We start from the raw sequence: 24751 nt of genomic DNA, 5'->3' as shown, positions 1-24751 counted from the left end.
TGAGACCTTCCCTGTCTACTGTCCACCTCTAGTCTAGGTCCTGACATGTGTCTTCAGGAACCTCTTGCTCACTAGAATGTTGCTTCATGAGGGGAGGCCGTATCCCTTGCGGAGGCCTTCCATCTGGACTGGACTCTTGTTTTACTGCTTTAACCAGCTTGCACCCCACCCTACCACTGAGTAGTCACTGGGGCAAGTCACCTCATCTCCCTGGTTCTCAGTTTCCTCATCAGTCAGACGAAGGTAAAAAAATGTACCTGCCTCATGGGGTTGTTGTGAGGATAAAGCAGGGGATGGGAGGGGATAGCCCGCTCAGTGCCTGGCACATGACAAGTGCTCAAAAACATTACTATCTGTTTTAGCTGTCATCAAGATAGGGAATAATAGTGTTTTTTTCTTTTCTTTCTTTATTATTTTTATTATTTATTTAACAGGGTCTCACTGTGTCACCCCAAGCTGCAGATCCACTCACTACAGCCTCAACCTCCCAGGCTCAAGCGATCCTCCCACTTTAGCCTCCTGAGTAGCTGGGACTATAGGCCTGCGCCACCATGCCCCACTGATTTTTGTGTTTTTTTGTAGAGATGGGGTTTCACCATGTTGCCCAGGCTGGTCTTGAACTCCTGGGCTCAAGCAATCTACCTGCTTTGGCCTCTCAAAGCGCTAGGATTACAGGCATGAGCCATGTGCCCGGCTGAGAAATAACAGTTATTAGTAAATTTAAAAGGCTCCCTAGAAGAGAAAACTGCATCTGTGCCTCACTTTGCAAATTGGAACATGGCTCCCATCCATTTACCATGATCCCAGAGTGGAGAACGACTGGGCTGTTTTATGTATTTCCCCCACAAGGCTCTGTTATCTCAAGGTTTTACACCCTGTGGTTCCTGTCCTCAGACTGGATAATAGCTTGCTATAGACACAGGTTTGGTTAGCGACACGAGCCGTATCAGAATTACCAATGTGTGTTGGATGCCTGCTACTATGCCATGCATTGCATAGTGCCTGAGCTCCCCTCAGCCTCCCAAAGGGACTTTGGAGCCCATGTCCCACCTCAGGACAGGGCTCAAGTTGTATTTGAACTCAGGTATTTCCCACTCCACAGCCTCTCTCTGTCTTCCCACTCCCCAGCTCAGCCTTGCTCCTCAGGTTTTCTAACCCAGATTATGAAAGCAGAAAGGACTTGCTTCCAAAGAAGGCTTTTAGTAGCACTTGAAGAGCATTGCTTAGGCCTGAACAATAAGACTGACACCCAGGCCAGGCGCAGTGACTCACACCTGTAATCCCAGCACTTTGGAAGGCCGAGGCGGGCGGATCACGAGGTCAGGAGTGTGAAACCAGCCTGACCAACATGGTGAAACCCCGTCTCTACTGAAAATACAAAAATTAGCCGGGTGTGGTGGCGTGGGCCTGTAATCCCAGCTACTCAGTAGGCTGAGGCAGGAGAATCACTTGAGCCCGGGAGGCAGAGGCTGCAGTGAGCCGAGATCGCGCCATTGCACTGCAGCCTGGGTGATACAGTGAGACTCTTGTCTCAAAAAAAAAAAAAAGACCGATACCCAGACACATCACCATCCCCTGGGTGAAGACTGCAACCGGACACGGCACACCTTTCAAATGCCAAAAAGTGGGGGAGGGGGAGCATCTATACAGTGCATTGCTACAGGCAGAGAGTTAAATGTCTCTTCCAGTAATTCCACTTCTGGGGTTTTATCTTTAGTAAGTAACTAAAAATGCGTGCTTACATTTGTTGTGCAAAGATTTTTGAGGCTGGATATGGTGGCTCATGCCTATAATCCCAGCACTTTGGGAGGCTGAGGCGGGTAGATTGCTTGAGTTTAGGAGTTGGTGACCAGCTTTGGCAACATAGTGAGAACCTGTCTCTACAAAAAAATACAAAAATTAGCTGGGTATGGTGGTGCACGCCTGTAGTCCCAGCTACTTGGGAGACTGAGGTGAGAGGATCACTTGAGCCTGGGAGGTCAAGGTTGTACTGAGCTGAGATTGTGCCACTGCACTCCAGCCTGGGCAAGACACCGAGACCCTGCCTCAAAAAAAAAAAAAAAAAAAAAAAAAAAAAAAAAAAAAAAAAGATTTTCAGGCCGGAAGTGGTGGCTCACACCTGTAATCCCCGCTTTGGGAGGCCAAGGTGGGTGGATCACTTGAGGCCAGGAGTTTGAGACCAGCCTGGCCAACATGGCAAAACCCCATTTCTAATTAAAAAAAAAAATTAGCTGGGCATGGTGGTGGGTGCCTGTGATTCCAGCTACTCGGGAAGCTGAGGCACGAGAATCACTTGAACCTGGGAGGTGAAGGTTGCAGTGAGATCACATCACTGTATTCCAGCCTGCGCAACAGAGTGAGGTTCTGCCTCAAAAAACAAACAAACAAAAAATTCATTACTAAGCATTATCCTGATAACGAGAAATGAGGAACAAACCAAGTACCAGTCGGAATTGATTATAAGAGGGCACATGCATACAATGGACCAAATGGCCTTTAGCAATCATGTTGTGGGAGAATATTTCACGACAAAGGAAAGCATTCACAATATGTTAAATGAAAAATAAAGGACACAGATTAACAGTGGTTACTGCTGGATGGTGTGATTGTGGGTGGGTTTTCTTATTCTTTGTACCTCTGCTATTTTCTATATTGCTTTACAGTGAGTAGTGTTACATAAGCAGAGGGTTTTAAATGTAAGGTTACACACAACAGACACTCAGCAAGTGTTCAAGGTACCCAGTGGTTACTAGGTGGCTGGGGCCAGTCATCTCAGAGTCCCACCCTTGACCCTGGTTGTGCCTTCTCCTGCGGCTGCTTTCCCTGAAGGTGCTACCCAGCCCCTTGCCCTGGCCCCTCTCCATTGCTTTTCTGCCTGGTGTCAGTCACAGCTCATCCTTTGCCCATCCAGGTGGGGGTTTCTTGCAGAAACCCTGGCTTCCCCAATTGATGATTTTGTTAAGTAACTGCCCTGATCCCACCCTAGCCTGATTTTTTTTTTTTTTTTTTTTTTGAGATAAGGTTTCTCTGTTAGCCCGGGTTGGAGTACAGTGGTGTGATCATGGCTTACTGCAACCCCAAACTGGGTTCAAACAATCCTCCTGCCTCAGCCTCCTGAGTAGCTGGGACTACAGAAACACACCACCACGCCGAGCTAATTTTTAAATTTTTGGTAGAGACAGGGATCTCACTTTGTTGCCCAGGCTGGTCTTAAACTCCTGGCTTCAAGTGATCCTCCCACTTTGGCCTCCCAAAGTGCTGGGATTACAGGTGTGAGCCACCGTACATGGCCTTCTCATCCTGTCTTGTAGTTTGGGGAGAGGGAACTGAACTTAAGAACGGGCCCTTATGAATAAACTGACTATTTCAAGGAGAAGAGATGACTGACCATCAGAGGCTTCTGGAGTCTTCACCAGTTTCCAAACTTTGTGGATAGACATCCACATTTCCTGCCTATCTTCTCTCTCACCCCATAAAGGACTGTCTTTGGGTGTATCACCTCTCCCCCCACAGACTCTCAGTCTGAGTCTAGGAACGAAGTCCTCCCCAACCCTAAGCCCACCTCAGGGCCAAGCACAGCATGGATAGGAGAGGGTGGGAGAGCTGCACATAGAAACCTTGTGGGTTAAATTGCTGTGTTGCTAATCTAAATATCCTACTTGCAGATGTGTCCTGCTTTCCGGAAATCCTGAATTATAAAACAGAGGAAGTCAAGGCATTTGCCTTTAGTAATAATAAAAAGGCACATTGCCTTTGGCTGTATATAGGAGACTCACTTGCCACATCATCTTTCACTCAGCAGCCAGTGTGATGTCTTCAAACTGTAGCTCACATCCCATCATGTCTCTGTCTGAACCTTTCGGTGGACAAGGTCTAATGTCTCACTTTGTCCATCAAGGCCCCTCCAGCCTCTTTCTCCCCTTACCTCCCCCGTCCATGGACTTCCAGCAGTGTGACCTGTGCTCTGCCTGGGCCAGTACTTCTTCCAGGTGTCTGTCACCACATCCTGATCCCTTGCTGCCTGGTGAGGGGTCAGTCGACTATCTCCCTCATCAGCTCATAAGCTCCATAAGGTCAGGGATAGTGTCTATCTTGGTATCCAGTCACTACTGTCCCCAGAGCCTAGCACAGTGTGTGGCATGTAGTAGATGCTCAAATAATTGTTAAATTGAATCTCATGCAAAGAAAACTTTTCTCTTTGACAAGCTTGCCTGGGTAGAACACCAGGTGTTGGCTGGCGGATCTGAAGGGACTGCTGGGCTCAGATGAGGGAGCAGGCTCTTCAGAGAGAGGAGAAGCCCTTTGCTTAGTAAATGTAATTACTTGATAAACACGCCTGGTTGTCGTAGGGATCTTCTGCTTTAGGGAGGAAGGAGAATGACAAAAGGGTTCTTGGGGAAAAGGTTGAGGACTAGGGGTCTGGACACAGGAGTTGTCCTTGGAAACGGAGTACTGGAGAGAGTGTGTTCCCTGAATAGGAAACTGGTGGGTCATAACGCATTGAGTCTGGGGTCAAGGAACCCCCAGAAGCTGTAGTGGGATGAAGTTGCAGCTGTTGGAACAGAAGTTGGTTTGCTCAAGATGCCCAGTTTCTGGCCCAAAAGGTGGGCTGCAGGCCAGGAAGAGGCCACCCAGCACTGCAAGGCTGAGCACTTGCAACAGAAGGCAGAGGTTGCTGTGAAGTAAGTCTGGAAGATCTGCATCCCAGCTGCTGCTGTCACTACAGGTGGTCTCCCAGGGAGCTCTCAACCCTCACACCCTTCCTGCACCTGCGCAAGAGTCTTAGTACTTTGGGCTGATGCTCTTTCCTCTGTAAACAGGGGCCAGACTGTGATCCTCTGGCTCTGGGGGCTGGCTTCACCTTGCTAAGCTTCGATTTCTTCATTTGAGAAGCGGGCCCGCACAGGCCCTCCACCTTAAAGGCTGTCGTTAATGTTAACTTCGATCAAGCACCTAAAATGCACCGCTGGCACATGGGGGGAACCGATGAATTTTTTATTTTTAGCATCAGAGTTTACACTTTCTTGAGCCCAGTAACTACAGTCTGGGGCATTCTTTATTTCTGATTTTAAGAGGTGGTGAAGACCGTAGGCGTTCATCTGTTGAATGAATGAATGCCTGCAGAAACTCGCTTTATTTAGAGTCCCATATTTATTTCCGTATGCACGACCCAGGCCCCTCACTTTCAGGCTCTGCGTCCACCTACAGGCCGGCGATTCCTGAGAGCTTGCTGGGCGCCGGGGTTCACGCAGCTCCAGGCTCGTCCTCATTCTCACCTCCACCGTGGAGGAAAGTGAGGCTTGGGCAAGATCTGACACACCCAAGATCAGCCCAGCGGTGGGGGTGGGGGCGCCGCGTGCAGGCTCTGGCCCTGGACCGCTAGGGTAGCCCCTACCACCCCGGCACGAGAGTCCACTCCCACTCGGGTACCTGGCCCTTGACCCGCCCTCGGGGTTTCCGCGGCGCGTTCTCTGGCGGGACAGTGGGAGCGAGGGGCAGGGCTGTTTACCCCTCCTCCGACTCGGTCAATTCTCTCCGCCTGAGTCTGATTTAGGTGGCGGCGGGGGAGGGATGTCCTGGGGCCTCCGCTCTCCTCTTTCTAGCCTCCCTGTAGACCTAGGCCGTGCATGGGGAGCTGGGGTGTCGAGCGGTGGCCGGGCGTGGCCACGTCCAAGTCCTGCGTCGCCCGGCTCCGGCGCCCGCGGGGGTCCCCGGCCCGCCTCCCGCCCACGTGGCCGGCCCGGCCTCCCCGCCCCCGGCCCCGCCCAGCCCAGGGGAGCCGCCGCCGCAGCCGCCGCCGCCGCGGTGAGTTTTCCAGCCTGGAGAGGCCGAACCAGCGCGGGGGTCGAGGTGAGTGCGGGAAGCAGTCGGGAAACCCGCTCCCGCGCTAGACCCTCCCCGGCTAGACACCCCTTTGGCGGGACACCCCCGCTAGGTCTCCCGGAGTGAGACCGTCTTCCGGTCTAGTCCCTCCTTTGCCCTGGTCCCCGAGCTGGACCCCCACTCCCACCTCCGAGTTACCCTGCTAGGTCTCGGCGTCCCCGGCGGGCCCTGAGCGCTCCCTGGTCTGGGGTATGCCCAGCGCACGGGGGCGCACTGGGCGCAGCGCAGGTGGGCAGTGCCACCGCCAGCCTCGACTAGCCGTCGCTCCTGCTGGGGACCCTGACTCTGTTCCCCGGGTAGCCCCTTGAGCGAAAATTCCCGGAGCCACTTCCGGGGAGGGAGGTGCCACCTGTCCTGGGACGCGCCCCTTTCGCTCAACTTTCTTCTCCAGCCCCGCGGGGCACCCGCAGGTCAGCGTCGCGTCGGGCGCTGCTGGTGGCGGCTCACAGGGCCGCGGGTCACTTCGCGGCGGGGGAGCCGGGCTCAGGGCGCTCCGGGCGGCGGGCGCCGTCCCAGCCTGCCTGAGGCCCTTGTCCCGGCGGCTGCATCTTGTAAACCGAGCAGCCAGAAAATCCCGAGATAGGACACCAGGGTGGAGGACGCCAAGGGGTTAAGGTCAGCGTGGGTGCCTCGCAGCCAGAGACGGGTGAGCGTTTTCTGAGGCTGGAAGCTGATTGAGCCGAGTGGAAACGGGTTCCCTTGGGCTTTGCGGTGGTGGAGAGCTGCTCTTGCACTATCAGCAGCCCCATCACGGGCTTGAATGTTGCGGAAACAGAGCGCCTTGTTCTTAGAGGACTCGGCTTGCTGGATTTATTGCCTGGCCCAGGCTTGCTTCCCGCACTGGGCGAGGACGCGAGAACTGCCAGACGGTAGTTGCCCTGAATGTACCGGTAGAAACTTATTTTTAAGCGTTCCATGCACTACCCAGGTATAACCACTTTCTTCCCTGGGGTGTGGAGAAGGGGAGCTTTGCTAGGTCTTTGTCTTAGCTGTGTAGTCCTAGGCAAGTTACTTCGCTTACCTATGCCTCAGTTTTCTCATCTGTAAAGTGGGGATGATAACAGTACAAACCTTAAAGAGTTGTATAGGGATAAAGTGCTTAAAATACTGACTGGGGCAGGGTAAATCCTCTGTGTTAGCTGCTCTTGTGATTATTATCACTGACATCTAACAGCGCGTGCACAGCCCTAGCTTCTCAATGAGGTGGGTGTGCAGGCAGTTGCTCCTTCCCCTTATTCTGGTAAGGAGCTGGTGGTGCTTACACAGTAGCCATGGTGTTCCCTTCCGCACTGGGAAATTTGAGCTTTGCTGTAACACCTCCTATGGCTAACTAGCCTTGTGCAAAGTATATCTCAGAATGTGGGATTAGAGATGAACTTTGTCAAGGACACTGTTGGGAAATGGGGTCTTGGACCTTCTCTGGAAGCTCTGGGGTGTGATTGAATGTTTGCCTCTTGGTTGGGGGGAGGGTGGGTAGATTTCACTTGATTCTTTTAAGCCTTGGGTCTCCTGACAGTCTGACATTGTCTAGTCTCTGTGAGTGTGGGAGTCTATTTAAGGGTCCAGGGACCTGATCTTGTCACCTTCTCCCACATTCATTCATTTCTAGCAGATTGCCCCCTCCATCTGTAGAGTTTTCCTGGTCTGCACCCATTTGGTATCTTTCTTCTTGGCAATTTAGTTTCTGTCTTCTGAATCTCCACAGATAAGAGCTCTGAACCTGGAGCCCCACTGAACGTCCTGAAATCTACACGAGGCACTTGAAGCACAGTTATTTTTCCAGAGGTTTCCCCTTACATTGTATTTTCCATGAGGCCTGTGCCCCAGAAAAGTGGACTCTGAACTTCTGGTAGGAAAGTGGAGGTTCTTGCCCCGTTACATCTCAATTCCCTACAAACTGGGGGCTGCCCTTTGTGCCCCCTCCCAGAACACACTTTTCAGTGGGCAATACAGGTCAGCCTTGACTTGGTCAATTAGGGGAAAGAGAGGCAGGCTGTGAGGTTAGGGACTGTTGGCCTGTGGTGAGACCTTTAGGCTGGGATGCAATTCATGAACATTTGAGTTCAAGTTTTCAGAAGACTTCTCAGGGCCTTTGCACACGCTGTTCCCTCAACCTAGCATCACTTCTTCCATGCCAGGCACTTTCTTGCCATTTTGCTCAGATGTCTCCCCTGTACAGATGGTTTTTCTGACCACTCTGTCCAAAGCAGCCCCTCCCCCATTAGTTTCTATCACACTCTTTCTTGTATTTTATTCATAGAGCTTGCCCGGGATGATCTTATTCATACATTGATTTATAGGTTTATTGTGTGCATCCACCAAGGAGAATGTAGGATTCAAGAGGACAGAGGTGTGTTGTCCTGTTGACTACTGACTCCTGCTCCATGGCATACAGCGGGTGCACAATAACTGTCCTGAGTGAATGAACACCCATTGACTGAAGTGAGGTGAGTCTAGAGAGTAGTGAAATGCAAAGGAACTGGTTGCTTGTCAGGAGCTCAGGGTTGAAAGTGACCATTAATGTAGCATACTTTCACCTCCAGATTAAATCACCTCTGCAACACCTCTTCCTAGTTACTGTTTAACCTAAGCTTGAATCCTCTAGGCACAGGGAACTTGTCATCTCCTGCAATAGCCTGTTCCACTGGAGGAGAGGGGACAGAGAACCATTGGAGGAGAGGGGGCAGAGAACCAGATGTAGTCCCTGTACCACACTGTTGAGGACGAGATGTGGCCTCCTGCATGCTATCATTCTAGTCCTTATGGTCTGCTTCGTGTTCTGACTATCCTGCATTCATCAATATCCATCTCTAAAGTTCTCTGCCATAACTAAGGTCCCTGAGCCCCTGACCAGAACTTAGTATGCTGCCCAGTCATGTCTCACCAGAGGGGGTCTGAGGCAAAGAAGCATGAAGCAGAAAGGCCATTGCCATAGTTTAGTAACCCTTCAAGGCCAAGTTATGTATTGTTCAGGCTCCTGTAACTCATTGGGTTGGAGGTGGGGGTGGGTAGGGGCTGTCTCTCTTTTGTTCTTTTCCTGGATTTTTCTGTATCATTCCTTAATCAATTTATTAAAGCAACCCTAGCTATATTTAAAAGAAAATTAATCCTTGGACCCATTTTCTTAATGGTTTGTACAAATATTCTTTAATTCATATCACTTCGCTTGCACAGGTTGAAAGTCAACTGAAAATAAGTTTTTTAATATATAATTCTAATCTATTGAGTCAGTTTCTTCATGGGATAGTATCAGCATGATGGGTGGAGTGAGGTCTGCTGTGGAGAGGTTTGGTGACAAGCTTTGCTTTCTTCTTTACTTTGATGAAAATTGTTTATTCAGTTATGAAAATGGGTACACATTTCTTTTTCTTTTTTCTTTTTTAGAGATAGGGTCTTGCTTTCTTGCCCAGGCTGGCATGCAGTGGCGTGATCTTGGCTCACTGCAACATCTGCCTCTCAGGCTCAAGCAATCCTCCCACCTCAGCCTCCTGAGTAACTGGGACTATGGGCATGCACCACCATGCCTAGCTAATTTATGTATTTTTTGTAGAGATGGGGTTTCACCATGTTGCCCAGGCTGGTCTTGAATACCTGAGCTCAAGTGATCATCTGCCTTGGCCTCCCAAAGTGCTGGGATTACAGGCATGAGCCACCATGCCGGGCCCATTTTTTTTTTTTTCTTAAAAAAAGAAGAAAAAAAAAGAGGACTGGCAAGACTGTTCCTAATTGAGGTTGTATTTACACATGTCTTAGCCACTTAGCTCATTTATTTCATTTATTCAAAAACATTTAGGGAGAGAGGGCTACTCTGTGCGAGGCATTGCCCTGGTACTGACCACACAGCAGTCAAAGAAACTGACAGCATTCCTCCCTTGTGGAGTTTACATCCCAGTGGTGGAGATGGACAGTAGACAACTAGATCAGTAATAAGATGTGAGGGAGAGTGGCCAGTGTAATGGAGATGAAGCTGGGGAAGGAGATCCAGAGTGATGGGATGGAGGCAGAGCTGGCTTCAGTCAGAGAAGGTCTTTCTGAGGAGATAGCATTGGAGCAGAAACCCAGACAAATGAGGGAGCAGCCTCATGGACAATTGCATGCAACCTCATTCCATGCATATGGAGCCCAATGTTGTGGTCAAACTCCCCAGTGTGGCCAGTCAACTCCTGAGCACTGGACATGGTCTATCTCACTGCAGAAGGGGAGGGAAAATGAGACAATGTAGGCAGAACTCTCCTCCTGCCCTCCAGGTCCTGGCAGGTGGCTGGAGTAAGATCTTGGCGTTGTGTGTTCTGATGGTCAACTAGAAGGCTGGTACCTACATTTACAGGGTGAGACCTGAGCAATGTGTTCTGAAACTGCCACCTGGGGAATGAGCATGAGCCTAGGGGTCATTGCTGGAGTTATAATCCTGCACATTGTAAGACTTGCTCCACTGCACCTACCCTGGCAGTGGACTCCTTCCTCTTCTATGTCATTTGATTACCTCACCTCATCACCTAGTGGCACTTACCCAGAGGGAAAGTAATTACTTAGCAGGCTTTGATAGAAACAATAAAGAGATGAAAATGTATAGGATCGGGGATCAGGAGATGCATGCCTCCCACTCTTTCATTGATTGATCGATTGATTGATCAATTGATGTCATTTAATACAGTGAAGGTTCCCCGGGGGCTAAGAGTATGAGATCTGGATTGTGTGACCTTGTGCCAGTAACTTAACCTTTCTGAATCTTGATTTCTTCATCTGTGATATTGGGGAAGTGTGACAGGGAGGCTTCTTGGAAAAAGTGATATCTAAGAAGATGCAGAAAGGGATGGCTACGAGTCACCCCTGGTGGGGGTGGGGGATGGAAGGGAGGGCATAGCATGTGCAAAGGCCCAGACAAACAGCTGCCAGACTCTCAGATGTTGCAGGATTATTATTGATTACAGATGTGTGTGTATGTGTGTGTTGGAGTATACTGTAGAGAGGGACCTGACAAAGCAGCCCTCAGTAAATGTCAGTTGGTTTGAACGGCTGCACCCTGTGCTACTGGGCTCGGCATCTATATCCTCACACAGTCTCCACAACCATCCTGTGGTCCTCTCATTATCCCCATCTTCCATACCAAGAAATTGAGGTGTAGAGTTATGAATAACTTGCTCACAACTGCCTTGCTGTATCAGGAGAGCTGGAGGTGAAGAGGGTCTTCCCAGAAGATTTATTTGGGATACAGCGATGTCAAGAGAGATGGCTGCTTGTAAATATCTCTGACAGGTCTCACTTTGGCACACATCCCCCTGAAATGTCAGCTCTGGGAGGGCAGAGGCTGCTCCTGGCAGGACACCTGGACCCTGGCATGATGCCAGTGCACAGTGGGGTTTGTTGGGATGTTGGGTGGATGACCCAAGGCCTCTGGGTGGCCATGGAACGAGTCTGGAAGAGTCTAGTGCCTTCATTTCCCAGGTGTCTCCTGACTTTTCTAAGGTGGACCCACAAGTCAGAGCAGAACTGGACATGGGGCCCAAGTCAAAAACAGAATTCTCCAGAAAAGGAGGCTGGGGCACTTGGCCGGAGCCAATCCCTGAGGAGCATGCAGCACTCTTGCAACCTGGCTCTGAGTGCACTGTTCCAATTCACCTTCAGCCACACCCCACCACCAATCATCCCGGGGTGCTCAAACAGAGCCAAACCCCACAGTCACCCAGATACTGCAGAGGTTTTCCCATGTTCACATCTTTGCTTCTGCTGTTTCCACTACTTGGAAGCTCTTTCACGCTTGTCCACTTTCACAGCTTCCCACGCTGCCCAACTCCAGTGGCTTTCTCTCTCTTTCCTTCCCTTTTGGCTAGAAACATAAATAAGAAATCCTGATTATATTCTTATTGAACATAAACGTAAACATATCAGAAGTTGTAGAGTTAAAAGTAATTACAGGTATAATATGCTGAGATATTAAAAAAAAAAGTAAAAAATAAAATTCCACCTTCCCCATCCCAAGCTTGCTTCCAGAGAGAATGTTTGTGATCAACTGGGCATAGATTTCTCTTGCTTTTGTTTACTCACACAGGCATGGGTACCTGTGAGTATCTTTGAAAACCAACATAATGGGCTCATTTTGTATGTATTGCTTACCAACTAATGTTTTTTCTTTTATTTATTTATTTTGAGACAGAGTCTCACTCTGTCACCCAGGCTGGAGTGCACTGGCATGACCTTGGCTCACTGCAACCTCTGCCACCCAGGTTCAAGTGATTCTCCTGCTTCAGCCTCCCGAGTAGCTGGGATTACAGGCGCCTGCCACTGCGCCTTGCTAATTTTTGTATTTTTTAGTAGAGATGGGGTTTCACCATCTTGGCCAGGCTGGTCTTGAACTCCTGACCTCGTGATCCACCCGCCTTGGCCTCCCAAAGTGCTGGGATTACAGGAGTGAGCCACCACGCCTGGCTTGTTTTTATTTATTTTTATTCTTTTTTTTTTTTTTTTTGACAGAGTCTCGTTCTGTTGCCCAGGGTGGTATCTCAGCTCACTGCAACCTCTGCCCCCCGGGTTCACGTGATTCTCATGCCTCAGCCTCCCTAGTAGCTGGGACTACAGGCATGTGCCACCACGCCTGGCTAATTTTTTGTATTTTTAGTAGAGACAGGGTTTTGCCATGTTGCCCAGGCTGGTCTTGAACCCCTGAGCTCAAGCAATCCTCCCACCTCGGCCTCCTGAAGTGCTGGGATTACGGACATGAGCCACCGCACCTGGCCTATTTTTTTTTTTTTAATTCTTTATTTGGCCTGGACAGTGCTAACAACTAATGTTTTCCCATTTAGTTATGTCCAAGAGTGTTTTCTTTGACCGTATACATTTCTCCTCTCTTTTACCTGCCCTGGCTCTTCCATTCCTCAGGGAAGAATATACAAACTTCTGTGGACATATGGTTTTATTTCTCTTGAATATATATCTAGCAGTGGAATTGCTAGGTATATGGTAACTCTTAACATTTTGAGGAACTGCCAAACTGTTTCCAAAGTGGCTGCACTGTTTTAAAATCCCACCAGCAGTGCACGAGGGTTCCAGTTTCTCCACATCTTCATCAACTCTTGTTATTATCCATCTTGTGATTATTGCCATCCTAAGTGGGTATGAAGTGGCATCTCATTGTGACTTTGATTTGCATTTCCCAGATGGCTAATGATGTTGTGCCTTCTTTCATGTGCTTATTGGCCATTTGTGTATCTTCTTTGGAGAAATGTATATTTGGTCTTTTATCTATTTTTAAATTGGATTATATGTCTCTTTATTATTGAGTTGTAAGTGTTCTTTATATATTCTGAGTTCAGTTCCTTATCAGCTATGATTTTAAAGTATTTTTTGCCCATTCTGTGGGTTATTTTTTCACTTTCTTGATGGTGTTCTTTGAAGTGCCAGGTTTTAATTTTGGTGAAGTTCAATTTATCTATTTTTCTTGGGTTTCCTGTGCTTTTGGTGTCATACGTAAGAAACCTTTGCCTGATGCAAGGTCATGAAAACTTATGCCTAAGGCATATTTTTTTTTTTTTTTTTGAGATGGAGTTTTGCTCTTTCACCCAGGCTGGAGTATAGTGGCATGATCTCGGCTCACTACAACCTCCACCTTCCGGTTTCAAATGATTCTCCTGCCTCAGCCTCTCAAGTAGCTGGGACTACAGGTGTGCATCATCACACCCAGCTGATTTTTGTATTTTTAGTAGAGACGGGGTTTCACCATGTTGGCCAGGCTGGTCTGGAACTCCTGACCTCATGATCTGCCCACCTTAGCCTCCCAAAGTGCTGGGATTACAGGCATGAGCCACCACGCCCAGCCATATGCCTATATATTCTTATAAGAGTTTTATAGTTTTAGCTCTTAGATTTAGAACTTTGATCTGTTTTGATTTGATGTTTGTATGTGGTGTGAGGTAGGGGTCTAGCTTCATTTTTTGCATATGGAAATCCTGTTGTCCCAGAACCATGTGTTGAAAAGACTCTTCTTCCCCATTAAATTGTTTTGACACTCTTGTCAAAAATCAATTTACTATAAATGTAAGCATTTATTTCTGCATTCTCAATTCTAGTCCATTCATCTATATGTCTATCCTTATGCCAGTATTGCTGTCTATACTGTCTTGACTACTATAGCTTTGTAGTAAGTTTTGAAATCAGGAAGTATGAATCCTCCAACTTTGTCCTTCTTTTTCTTTTTTCTTTCTTTCTTTCTTTTTTTTTTTTTTTTGTGACAGAGTCTTGCTCTGTCACCCAGGCTGAAGTGCAGTGGCATGATCACTGCTCACTGTAGCCTCGACCTCCTGGGCTCAAGCAATCCTCCCACCTCAGCCTCCCAAGTAGCTGGGACTACAGATGTGTGCAACCATACCCAGCTAATTTTTAATTTTTATTTATTTATTTTTGGTAGAGACTGGGTCTGGCTGTGTTACCCAGGCTGGTCTCAAACTCCTGGGCTCAAGTAGTCCTCCCACCTTGGCCTGCCAAAGTGCTGGGATTATAGGTGTTAGCCACTGTGCCCAGCCTGACCTTCTTTTTCTAGATTATTTTGGCTGTTCTGGATCTCCCTATGAATTTTAGGATCAGCTTGTTAGTTTCTGCAAAAAGAGACCTGAGATTTTGACAGGGGTTACATTGACTCTGTAGATCACTTGGGGAGTTTTGCCATCTTAACAATATTAACTGTGGAACCTAAATTCCTTTTTGCTGGTGGCACTGCTCACTCAGCTTCCCTAGTCATTGAGTCTGCTGAGTAGGCACTCTGAGACCCATCCATCAAACTGCACAGACAAAACTCCAGCGATGTAAATGTCTCTTTCCTTTTTGAAGAAAGTAACACAGTATACTGTAGTGTCTAATTTAAGGCTTGGGTAAGACATTTAACTCCTGAATTTGTGAAATGGGAGTGCATCTGGCACCTGGACACACATATGACAGATCTGGCTTTCCTTCATGCTAAGGATGGGATGGAGATCTCTAAGATACTCCCATAACCCCTTGCTTCATGCCTGGAGAAGTGTGGTGGGAACTGGGAGACCCCACAGCCCTGGAGGCACCAGGTGGTGATAGGAGAATTGAAGCCAGGCTCCATTTTATCTTGTTTTATCTGTTGGGCAAAGGGGTACAATTTCATTTGAGGAAAGAGTTCTGCTGCTAAAACAATCTTAGCCCCTCACCCCCAATTCACTCACATCATAGTTTGAAGAATGGAATAAAAATAAAAAGGGAGTAATATCACATATTAAAAGTTTAGTTTAGGCCAGGCGCAGTGGCTCATGCCTGTAATCCCAGCACTTTGGGAGGTTGAAGTGGGAGCATTGCCTCAGGCTAGGAGTTTGAGACCCGCCTGGGCAGCAAAGCGAGACTCTATTTCTATAAAACAATTAAAAATTAGTTGGGTGTGACGGCACATGTCTGTAGTCCCACATACTTGGAAGGCTAAGGTGGGAGGATAGCTTGAGCCCCGTTGTTTGACGCTGCAATGAGCTGTGCTCACACTAATGCACTCCAGCTTGGCGACAGAGCAAGACCCTGTCTCAAAAGAAAAAAAAAAGCTTAGTTTACACCCTGACATGTACTTATGTGTTCCAGATGTAATGCTTTGGCACAGCACAAATACATGATTTTATTTTCAAGAAAGAAATAATAAAAAATGGAGTGCCTATATTTGTATCACTTGGAACCTTGTTTTCTAAACTTAAAGAACAACCTGGGAAACTACATTTGAAACTTCAAATCCATTCATACCTCAACTCATCTGGGGTGAGGAGCTCTCATTTTAAACAAACAATGTGTGTGTGTGTGTGTGTGTGTGTGTGTGTGTGTTTGAGAGACAGAGATTAGAGTTATTTATTGCAGTTGTTTCAAAAAAGCAATTTAAAAAAGCATGAATTTGGACTGTGTTTTTAGTTTGTTTCTGGGAGAAGAGAAACTTACATGCAATAGAATATATGTTTTGAGGTCTTCAAAATCTCAGATCTAGGCCAGGCGTGGTGGCTCACGCCTGTAATCCTAGCACTTTGGGAGGCTGAGGCAAGTGGATCACGAGGTCAGGAGTTCAAGACCAGCCTGGCCAAGATGGTGAAACCCCGTCTCTGCTAAAAATACAAAAATTATCCAGACGTGGTGGTGAGTGCCTGTAATCCCAGTTACTAGAGAGAGGCTGAGGCAGAGAATTGCTTGAACCTGGGAGGCAGAGGTTACGGTGAGCCAAGATCACGTCATAGCACTCCAGCTTGGGTGATACAGCGAGACTCGGTCTCAGAAAAAAAAAAAAAAAAAATCAGATCTTTTGCCTTAGCAGATTCCCTTATTTAAGTTGTTGGAACCGGCAGTTCATAGGGATTTTGTTTCCATCCTTTAGTGAGGGGGGTGTGTGCGTGTGTGTGCACATGGAAAGTTAGGGGAAAAACACAATGATATAACCTAACCCCAAAACAAGGAAGCACGTTACACAGTTGAGGTTTGGCGCTTCAGTTCCTGCCCAGTCTCAGAAGGTACAGCTTGGCTGACCTTGTGTGACCTATCTCTATGACACATCTCCCAAGGGGGTGGGGAGGACTGTTTCTCTCCAGCATGGCTTTAGTTTTATAAAAGCCCTGTGCAGTCTTGCAAACTCAAATGGTTTTCTTAACAAATCACTCACATTTCATGTGTTCTGGGCTGGGCAGGGCCTCGCTAATCCTTGGCCAGCTTTGTGAGTCAGAAATTATTTAAATGATTGCCTGAGTCCTTTTGAGGCGAGAGAATTGGCAAGTTAATTTAGGGAGGTGCAATGACTCTTAAACAGCACTGCAGTGAGTGGCAGCATTGATAAATGTGTTAGAAGCTCTATTTTATTGTGATAATAAATGCTAATGAAGAAAATGAACGTATTACCTTTTAGAGTGAGATAAGAATGATGATGCTACCAAATTTTATTAAGCATTTATTGTGTGGTGGAGTATGGTGGCTTCTCCCATGTTTTTGACTGTGACCTATTGTAAAACATAGACTGCAACCTGGTAACCTGGTGTGTGTGTGTGTGTGTGTGTATGTGTGTGTGCGCGCATATCTGAATTATTTGGTGAAACAATAGTTACCCTATGCGTGTCTAGTGTCCTCTGGGCTCAAGTGATCCTCTTGCCTTGGCCTCCAGAGTAACTGGGACTACAGGTGCATGCCACCACACCGGCTAATTTTTTGTTGTTGTTTGTTTGTTTTTGTTTTTTTTGAGACGGAGTCTTGCTCTGTCGCCCAGGCTGGAGTGCAGTGGTGTGATCTTGGCTCACTGCAAGCTCTGCCTCCCAGGTTCACGCCATTCTCCTACCTCAGCCTTCTGAGTAGCTGGGACCACAGGAGCCCGCCACTTTGCCTGGCTAATTTTTTTGTTTTGTTTTTTTTTTTTAGTAGAGACGGGGTTTCACCGTGTTAGCCAATGGTCTCGATCTCCTGACCTCATGATCCGCCCGCCTCGGCCTCTCAAAGTGCTGGGATTACAGGCATGAGCCACCGTGCCTGGTCTCACGCCGGCTAATTTTTTAAATTTTTTGTAGAGACTGGGTCTCTCTGTATTACCCAGGCTGGTCTCAAACTCCTGGCCTCATGTGATTTTCTGGCCTCAGCCTCCCAGTGTGCTGGGATTACAGGTGTGAGCCACTGCACCCACCCTAAAGTTGCATTTGAAAACAAATATATCTACTATGATAGCTTTGATCAGTATATAGACAAATATTATTATTATTATTATTATTATTATTATTATTATTTTGAGACAGAGTCTTGCTGTCACCCAGGCTGGAGTGCAGTGGCGCAATCTTGGCTCACTATAAGCTCTGCCTCCTGGGTTCACGCCATTCTCCCGCCTCAGCCTCCCGAGTAACTGGGAGTACAGGCGCCCGCCACCACGCCCGGCTAATTTTGTTTTTGTATTTTTAGAAGAGACAGGGTTTCACCGTGTTAGCCAGGATAGTCTCGATCTCCTGACCTTGTGATCCACCCGCCTTGGCCTCCCAAAGTACTGGGATTACAGGCGTGAGCCACCGCGCCTGGCCGACAAATGTTATTCTTTCTGGGTTGCCATATTTTGTGGTTTTTAAAAAATATATTTTTATTCATTTATCTGGTGACTTGAAATTTCATGCAAGTACAGGTCCTTACAGACAATTTCTATTGGAAAATCACTTATTTTGGGTGTGTATTAGGGTTTGGAGAGAAACAGAACCAACAGGATGTGTGTCAATCAATCGCTCATCTATCTATTGAGAGGTTGATTTTTAGGAATTGGCTCATGTGATTGTGGAGGCCAGGTGAGTCAAAAATCAGCAAGGTAGACTGGCAGGCCGGAGACCCAGGGAAGAGTTGCAGTGAGCCCAAAGGCTCTCTGGGTAGAATTCTTCCTGCTCTGGGAGGTCGGTCTTTTTCTATTAAGGCTTATAGCTGATTGGATAAAGCCCACCACATCATGGAGAATAATCTGCTTTACTCTAAGTCCACTGATTTAAATGTTAATCTCATCTAAAAAATACCTTCACAGAAATGTCTAGAATGTTTGACCAAATAGCTGGTTACCATGGTCTAGCCAAGTTGACACATAAAATTAATCATCACAGTGGGTAAAATACTGTTTGAGGTTGTTCAGAAGAAAGGAAAAAGGCAAAAGCCTGGGCGCGGTGGCTCACGCCAATAGTCCCAGCACTTTGGGAGGCCGAGGCGGATGGATCACTTGAGGTCAGGAGTTCAAGACCAGCCTAGCCAACATGGTGAAACCCCGTCTCTACTAAAAATACAAAAATTAAGCCAGGCATGGTGGCGGGTGCCTGCAATCCCAGCTACTTGGGAGGCTGAGGCAGGTGAATCGCTTGAACCTGGGAGGCGGAGGTTGCGGTGAGCCAAGATCATGCCACTGTACCTGGGTGACAGAGTCAGACTCTGTTTCAGAAAAAAAAAAAAAGAAAGAAAGGAAAAGTGTAATGGTTGGAAGTGGAAGTGTGCTGTTGGTACAGATAGGAGAACATTTCGGAAAGAATTCCCTCCCCTTTGATTGACTGCAAAATAAGTCCCTCCCTTGTTCTCTTGCAATTACAGGTGGACCAGATGGGTGGGCAGATTGGCAGTGGGGGTGCAGAGTTTCTTGTTCTGATTGAAAGGATTTTTTCTTACATTTTAGGGTTTTTTTTTTTTGTTTTGGAGACAGAGTCTCACTGTGTTGCCCTCCTGGCCTCAAGTGATCCTCCTGCCTCAGCCTCCTGAGTAGCTGGGATTACAGATGTGAATTACTGTGCCCAGCTCTTAGATTTCATTTTAAGACTGAAGACCTGAGAGTTCATGGGCCTAAGTAAAAGGTGCCATTTATCTGCAACAAATTGGTGCATGCTCCGTAGATCTAGCTGTAGGGGGCTGTGTGTGCTAATGCAGCATTTGTGACTCAGCCGTAATGAGGATGACCTTGCCTCTCCTGTTCCGCAGGCTACCACCTAGCTGTGGTGGGTCACTGGCCACAGAAACTGTAGGTATCTGGGGCTGCCTGGGTGGGAACTCAGCCTGTATGAGAACATGGTATTTGGAAGACATTAAACATTTATTATAGCTTTTATTTTTATTGAGGTATAATTAACATACCACAAAATTGACCCTTTTCAAGTACCCAGTCTGTTTTTTAGCACATGCATACGGTAGTGCAGATATCACCACTAGTTCCAGAATATTTATCATCCTAAAATACAGTTTTTCTTTTGCAAGTAATTTCTTTTTTTTTTGTTTTGTGATGGAGTCCTGCTCTGTTGCCCAGGCTGGAGTGCAGTGACATAATCTCAGCTTACTGCAACCTCTGCCTCCTGGGCTCAAGTGATTCTCCTGCCTCATCCTCCTTAGTAGCTGGGACTACAGGTGCACACCATCACACCCGGCTAATTTTGTATTTTTCGTAGAGATAGGGTTTCACCATGTTGGCCAGGCTGGTGTCGAACTCCTGACCTCAAGTTATCTGCCCGCCTCGGCCTCCCGAAGTGCTGGGATTACAGGCGTGAGGCGTGAGCCACTGCGCCCGGCCTTTTGCAAGTAATTTCAACATTTAAGACCATGGCCTACTGGATTGGTCCCATCAGCAAATAAACATGCAGTTATTTCTCCCAACTTAAAAACAGCAGAACCCTCTCTCCACCCTACTTCTCCCTACAGTTATACACCCATTTCTCTTCAGTTTAGAGCAAAACTTTTTGAAATAATTTTCTGGACTTACTAATTTTTTGCCTTCTATTGTGTCTCAAAAAATTGTGATAAAACACACATAACGTAAAATTTACTGTGTTGACTATTTTTAAGTTTTCAGGTCAGTAGTGTTGCGTATACTGATATTATTGTGCAACCAATCTGCAGAGCTTTTCATCTTGTGACACTGAAACACTGTATCCATTAAACAGCAACTCCCATTCCCCCCTGCCCCTAGTCCCTGGAGACCAGCATTCTACTTTCTGTCTCTGAATTTGACTGTTCTAGATACCTCATATAAGTGGAATCATGCCATATTTGTCCTTTTGTGACTGGCTTATTTCACTCAGCATAATGTGCTCAAGGTTCACCCATGTTGTAACATGTGTCAGAATTTCCTTCCTTTGGGCTGGGTATGGTGGCTCATGCCTGTAATCCCAGCACCGAGGAGGCGGATGTTGAGCCCAGGGGTTCAAAACCAGCCTTGGCAACATGGTGATACCCTGTCTACAAAAAATACAGCAATTTGCTGGGCGTGGTGGCATGCACCTGTAATCTCAGCTACTTGGGGGCTGAGATGGGAGGATCACTTGAGTCAGGGAAGTTGAGGCTGCAGTGAGCCGTGATCTTGCCGCTGCATCCCAGCCTGGATAACAGAGGGAAACCCTGTCTCCAAAAAAAGAAAAAAAAAGAAAGAAAAAAAAAAGAAAGAATTTCCTTCTTGGTTTTTGGTTTTCTGTTTTGTTTTTTGAGACGGGGCCTCACTCTGTCACTGATTGCTGCAGTGGCACAATCTCAGCTCACTGCAACCTCTACCCCCCAGGCTCAAGCAATCCTCTGACCTCAGCTTCCGGGTTAGCTGGGACTACAGGCATGCACCACTATGCCCAATTAATTTTTTTGTATTTTTGGTAGAGACAGGGTTTTGCCATGTTGCCCAGGCTGGTCTCGAGCCCCTGAGCTCAGGCAGTCCCCCTCCCTGGGCCTCCCAAAGTGCTGGGATTACAGGCGTGAGCCAGCACAGCTGGCATGGAATTTCCCTCCTTTTTAAGGCAGAATATTATTCAATTCTATGCATTTGCCACATTTTGTTCTACCATTCATCTGTCATGGACACTGAGTTGCTTCCACCTTTTGTCTATTGTGAATGATGCTGCTATCCCATTCTCTTTTGAGCCCCTCATTTCAGGCAGGCTTGGCTTCCACTCCCCTCTCCCCAGATATCTCTTACCAAGGTCTACAGTGAGTGCCTGGTTGCTCATCCCAATGGCCTGTTCTCTGTTGCCATCCTTCCTGACTACCAGCAGCGTGTGATGGAGTTGGTCACTTTCTCTTCCTCGAAGCCTTGTCTCACCTGGCTTCTAGGATGCCCGACTCTCCTGATCCTCTTCCCACATCTCTGTTAAGGAGCACCCCAACCTCCTGGTTGCTCAGGCCCAAAGCCTGGGGCGTCATCTTTGACTTTTGTATCTCTCTTCTCTTCACTTGTCAAAAGACTCTACTTGTAGAGTGGCCACTGCTCCCCTCCCGCTCCTACCACCCTCCAGGTCATTCTCCCCTCTCACCTGAATGACTGCGGCCTCCAAGCCTCTGCCTTTACCTCCTTTCAGCTTGTTCTCAACTCAGAGTCAGAGGGAACCTTCTGAAGGGTTGGCTACTTCTCTGCTCAAAGCCCTCAAATAGCTCTCATTTCACTGCAACAAAGCCAAAGCCTTTAGGGTGGCTGGCTGCAAGGCCCCATGTGATCTGGCTGCATTTCCTCTCTGACTCCTCTCTTAGTTTGCCCTTCCCCCTCATAACCGCACTCTAGCCACATCACCTCCATGCTGTTCCCTGCGTGGGCACCTCAGGGCCTTTGCACCTGCTATTCCCGCTGCCCAAAATGCACCTCTCCCAATATCTGCAGAGCTTGGTCCCTCATTTCCTTCAGCCTTCCCTGGTCATCGTGTCTAAACCGTTACCACTGCATCCCAACTTCCCCTTTGCCTTCATTGCTTTTTCTCCTTACACTATCGTTATCCAATATAAGGTGTATTTTGCTTATTTATCTTGTCATCTGCCTCCCCCACTAGAATGTAAATTCCATGAGGGCAGGGATTTTTCTTCTATTGTGTTCCCTGTCATGTCCCCAGTGCCTTGCCTGGTACAGACAATAATTTGTTGAACCCGTAAAGAAAAGTTTGGTAAACAGATTAAAAGCCATTTGATTCTTCTATTATGATATAATTCTTGCCTATATTTTTCTTACCTGTGAATTATTACATATGTGTATGTATGTGTGTGTGCATGTTTGTTGTGTGTGTGTGTGTGTGCATGTGTGTAGACAGAGAAACAGCGAGTCCTGTCATTCCCACCAGATATTCCTGCTTGTTAAACAGCTACATAGTGTTTTGCTGAGTGGCTAGAGCAGCTTTATTTAACCTTGTTTTGTTCAGTACTACTGGGCAGCTTCCAATCTTTTGCTATTGTAGATTATGCAGCATCTGTGCTGGGCACTTGCCCTGCTTCCTTCCCTCTTCTCTGAAAGGCTTCCCCATGCTCCTGAGCACCCCCCGCCCCCGCCGCCGTGCTCCTGAGCCTAGCCTGAGCCCGAGTGGGGGCTGTGGTCCTGGCTGGGCCTATCATGGTTCCCCTCCCCTCGGCTGTGGTAGCCGGTCTGGAGCTAGACACAAGCCACCCTTGCCAGGCTGTGGGCTTCCTCAGGGTCATCCTAACCCACTCAGAAGTGGCAGAGAAGGTGCTTGAAGGCACTCACCCAGCGCTAGAGCAGTGAGGACAGGCCCAGAGTGTGGAGCTGCGAGGGGAGGGTTGGGCACATTGCCTTTGGATCTAGTCACATGACTGAGCTGCTCCAGGGATCTTCCTACAAATCCCCCTTCTCACCCATCTAGATGGAGTTGGATTTCTCACTGCTAGCAGTGAGTCTAGACAGATCCAATCCAGTGGAGCATCCCTGCCCCACTCTCTTTTTTTACTTGATCCTTAGTCCAGAGCAAGGAAAGATGTGGAAACCCTCCCAAAGGCATTATTCAGGGCAGAAAATGCTTGTAGGCAGAGCAGCACCTTGTTTTTGTCACAACCGGAGAAACAATTTAAATCTGAACCTATGCGGGCTCAGATACTGATGCTGCCATCTGAGAAGGAGGACCTCTCTCACCTCAGGTTCTTTGTCTGTAAAATGGGGATGAAAATAATTATACCACACCTCAGGACTAAATGAGTTAATAAAAATTCTTAGAGTGGTGAGTAACACAGGATGAGAGACTGCTCACTGAGAGTTAGCTGTGGTGGCTGCCAGAATCCTAAAAGTGTAACAGGAGTTAAACATAGAGGTATCATATAGTCCAGCAATTCCAAATCTGGGTATATACCCAAAGAAATGAAAGCAGAGATCCAAACAGATACTTGCATTCCCATGTTCCCAGCAGCGTTATTCACAATAGCCAAAAGGTAAAAATAATACAAATGTCTATTGACAGATGAATGGATAAACAAAATGTGGTATGTACATACAATGGAATATTATTTAGCCTTAAAAAGGAAGGAATTTCTGGTTGAGTGAGATGGCTCACACCTGTAATGCTGGCACTTTGGGAGGCCAAGATAGGAGGATCTCTTGAGCCCAGGAGTTTGAGGCTGCAGTGAGTTATGATCGTGCCACTGTACTCCTGCCTGGATGACAGGGCCAGACCCCATTGCAAAAAAAAAAATAATAATAAATAAAGGAATTTTTGACACATGCTACAACATGCTGATCCATGAAAGTATTATGCTACATGAGAAAAGTCAGTCACAAAAGGACACTTACAGGGGGTACCTGGAATAGCAAGTTTAGAGAGAGAAGTATTAATACAGTAGGGGCTGGGAGAGGGGCAGGTGCAGGAGGAGTTACCGCTGAATGGGTACACAGTTTCTGTTTAGAATGACAACAAAGTTCTGGAAATGGATAATGGTAAGAGTTGTACAATATGGTGAATGTGCTAGATGTCACTGAACTGTACACTTAAAAATGGTTAAAGTGGTATGTTTTATATTATATTTTACCACAATAAAAAAGAGTATAAGAGGAGTTGGACTCTCCTGGACTTTTTCTTTATAGATTGAACTTATGTCAAAATGTAGCACAGTGAAAAAACAGGCACAGGCCAAAAAAGAAGTGGTGGTGGTGTGTGCCCATGTGTGTGTGTGTGTTTCGGGGTGGGGGTGGGGCGGCAGGTAAACTACTCACAAGACACCAGAGGCTCCTTTTGAGGTCTGATACTGCAGGCTGGGATCTGACGCTGCAGGATCAGGAAGAGTGGGGGAGATGAGGGGAAGGTGAGCCTGCACAAAGAATTTTCTCAGTGACTGTGGGCAGGGCAGTCAGGACCCTGGGTCACATGGGCCCAGCCCGGGACCAGAGCCTTTGTGAGTCACAGCTCAACTCCCAGCAAACAAAGGGATATGCCAGGGAGGGGCTGAGTTGTGACTCAGAGGCTGCTGCTGCTGTGAGCTTCCTCCAGGAACCCCATCCCTTCCAGTCCCTGATTCTGACTCCTACTGTGGGGGTGGGGACAGGTGTACCCACTTCCTGGGCAGGTTCTTGGAAGGGCTCTCCTGCAGAACCTAGACTTTTTTGCAGCTCCTTTTTGATAACCCGAGTAGCAGCAGCTATACCATTTAAGTGCTTGCTGCATACGGGCCCTGGGCT

The 24751-nt window shown here is 47.5% G+C and overlaps 2 protein-coding genes across 12 annotated transcripts in view, besides 4 other annotated features; one reads left to right on the top strand and one right to left on the bottom strand.

Moving 5' to 3' along the window:
• Nucleotides 5724-5793: a silencer, noted in NCBI's record as "silent region_14477". NCBI's record gives its function as "represses an Ori minimal core promoter by ATAC-STARR-seq in GM12878 lymphoblastoid cells {active_cell/tissue: GM12878}" and the evidence as "EXISTENCE:reporter gene assay evidence [ECO:0000049][PMID:35858748]".
• ARHGEF3 (Rho guanine nucleotide exchange factor 3) overlaps nucleotides 5808-24751 on the top strand; it is a 351849-nt gene continuing 332905 nt past the window's right edge. For 5 of the 11 annotated variants that reach the window (NM_001377411.1, NM_001377410.1, XM_017006503.2 and 2 more), the window contains exon 1: nucleotides 5808-5850. The gene's annotated coding sequence lies outside the window, so the exon portion shown is untranslated. Of the gene's footprint in view, nucleotides 5851-6291; nucleotides 6530-8183; nucleotides 8331-24751 lie in introns of those variants that run through there. The other 6 variants (NM_001377412.1, XM_047448226.1, NM_001377407.1 and 3 more) reach the window with 3 other exon arrangements.
• Nucleotides 6274-6413: a silencer, noted in NCBI's record as "silent region_14476". NCBI's record gives its function as "represses an Ori minimal core promoter by ATAC-STARR-seq in GM12878 lymphoblastoid cells {active_cell/tissue: GM12878}" and the evidence as "EXISTENCE:reporter gene assay evidence [ECO:0000049][PMID:35858748]".
• On the bottom strand, nucleotides 9644-24412 carry SPATA12 (spermatogenesis associated 12). Its single transcript, NM_181727.2, has 2 exons — nucleotides 24290-24412; nucleotides 9644-11710 (listed from the first exon to the last, which is right to left on the bottom strand). The coding sequence occupies exon 2, from the start codon at nucleotides 11379-11381 to the stop codon at nucleotides 10809-10811; it is 573 nt and encodes a 190-aa protein (NP_859078.1). The 5' UTR covers nucleotides 11382-11710; nucleotides 24290-24412; the 3' UTR covers nucleotides 9644-10808.
• Nucleotides 15987-16366: an enhancer, noted in NCBI's record as "active region_19985". NCBI's record gives its function as "activates an Ori minimal core promoter by ATAC-STARR-seq in GM12878 lymphoblastoid cells {active_cell/tissue: GM12878}" and the evidence as "EXISTENCE:reporter gene assay evidence [ECO:0000049][PMID:35858748]".
• Nucleotides 20506-21287: an enhancer, noted in NCBI's record as "H3K27ac-H3K4me1 hESC enhancer chr3:57097817-57098598 (GRCh37/hg19 assembly coordinates)". NCBI's record gives its function as "activates a minimal SCP1, AML or CMV promoter by ChIP-STARR-seq in naive H9 embryonic stem cells {active_cell/tissue: H9 hESC(naive)}" and the evidence as "EXISTENCE:reporter gene assay evidence [ECO:0000049][PMID:30033119]".

This window comes from Homo sapiens, chromosome 3 (genome assembly GCF_000001405.40).
Source record: "Homo sapiens chromosome 3, GRCh38.p14 Primary Assembly".
NCBI lineage: Eukaryota > Metazoa > Chordata > Mammalia > Primates > Hominidae > Homo > Homo sapiens.
The sequence above is the reverse complement of the archived record's forward strand: the minus strand, read 5'-3'. Positions and strand labels throughout refer to the sequence as shown.

Excerpts from the sequence above, each read along its gene's own strand:
- SPATA12 (NM_181727.2), bottom strand. The coding sequence starts at position 11,381 with ATGTCCAGTTCTGCTCTGACTTGTGGGTCCACCTTAGAAAAGTCAGGA.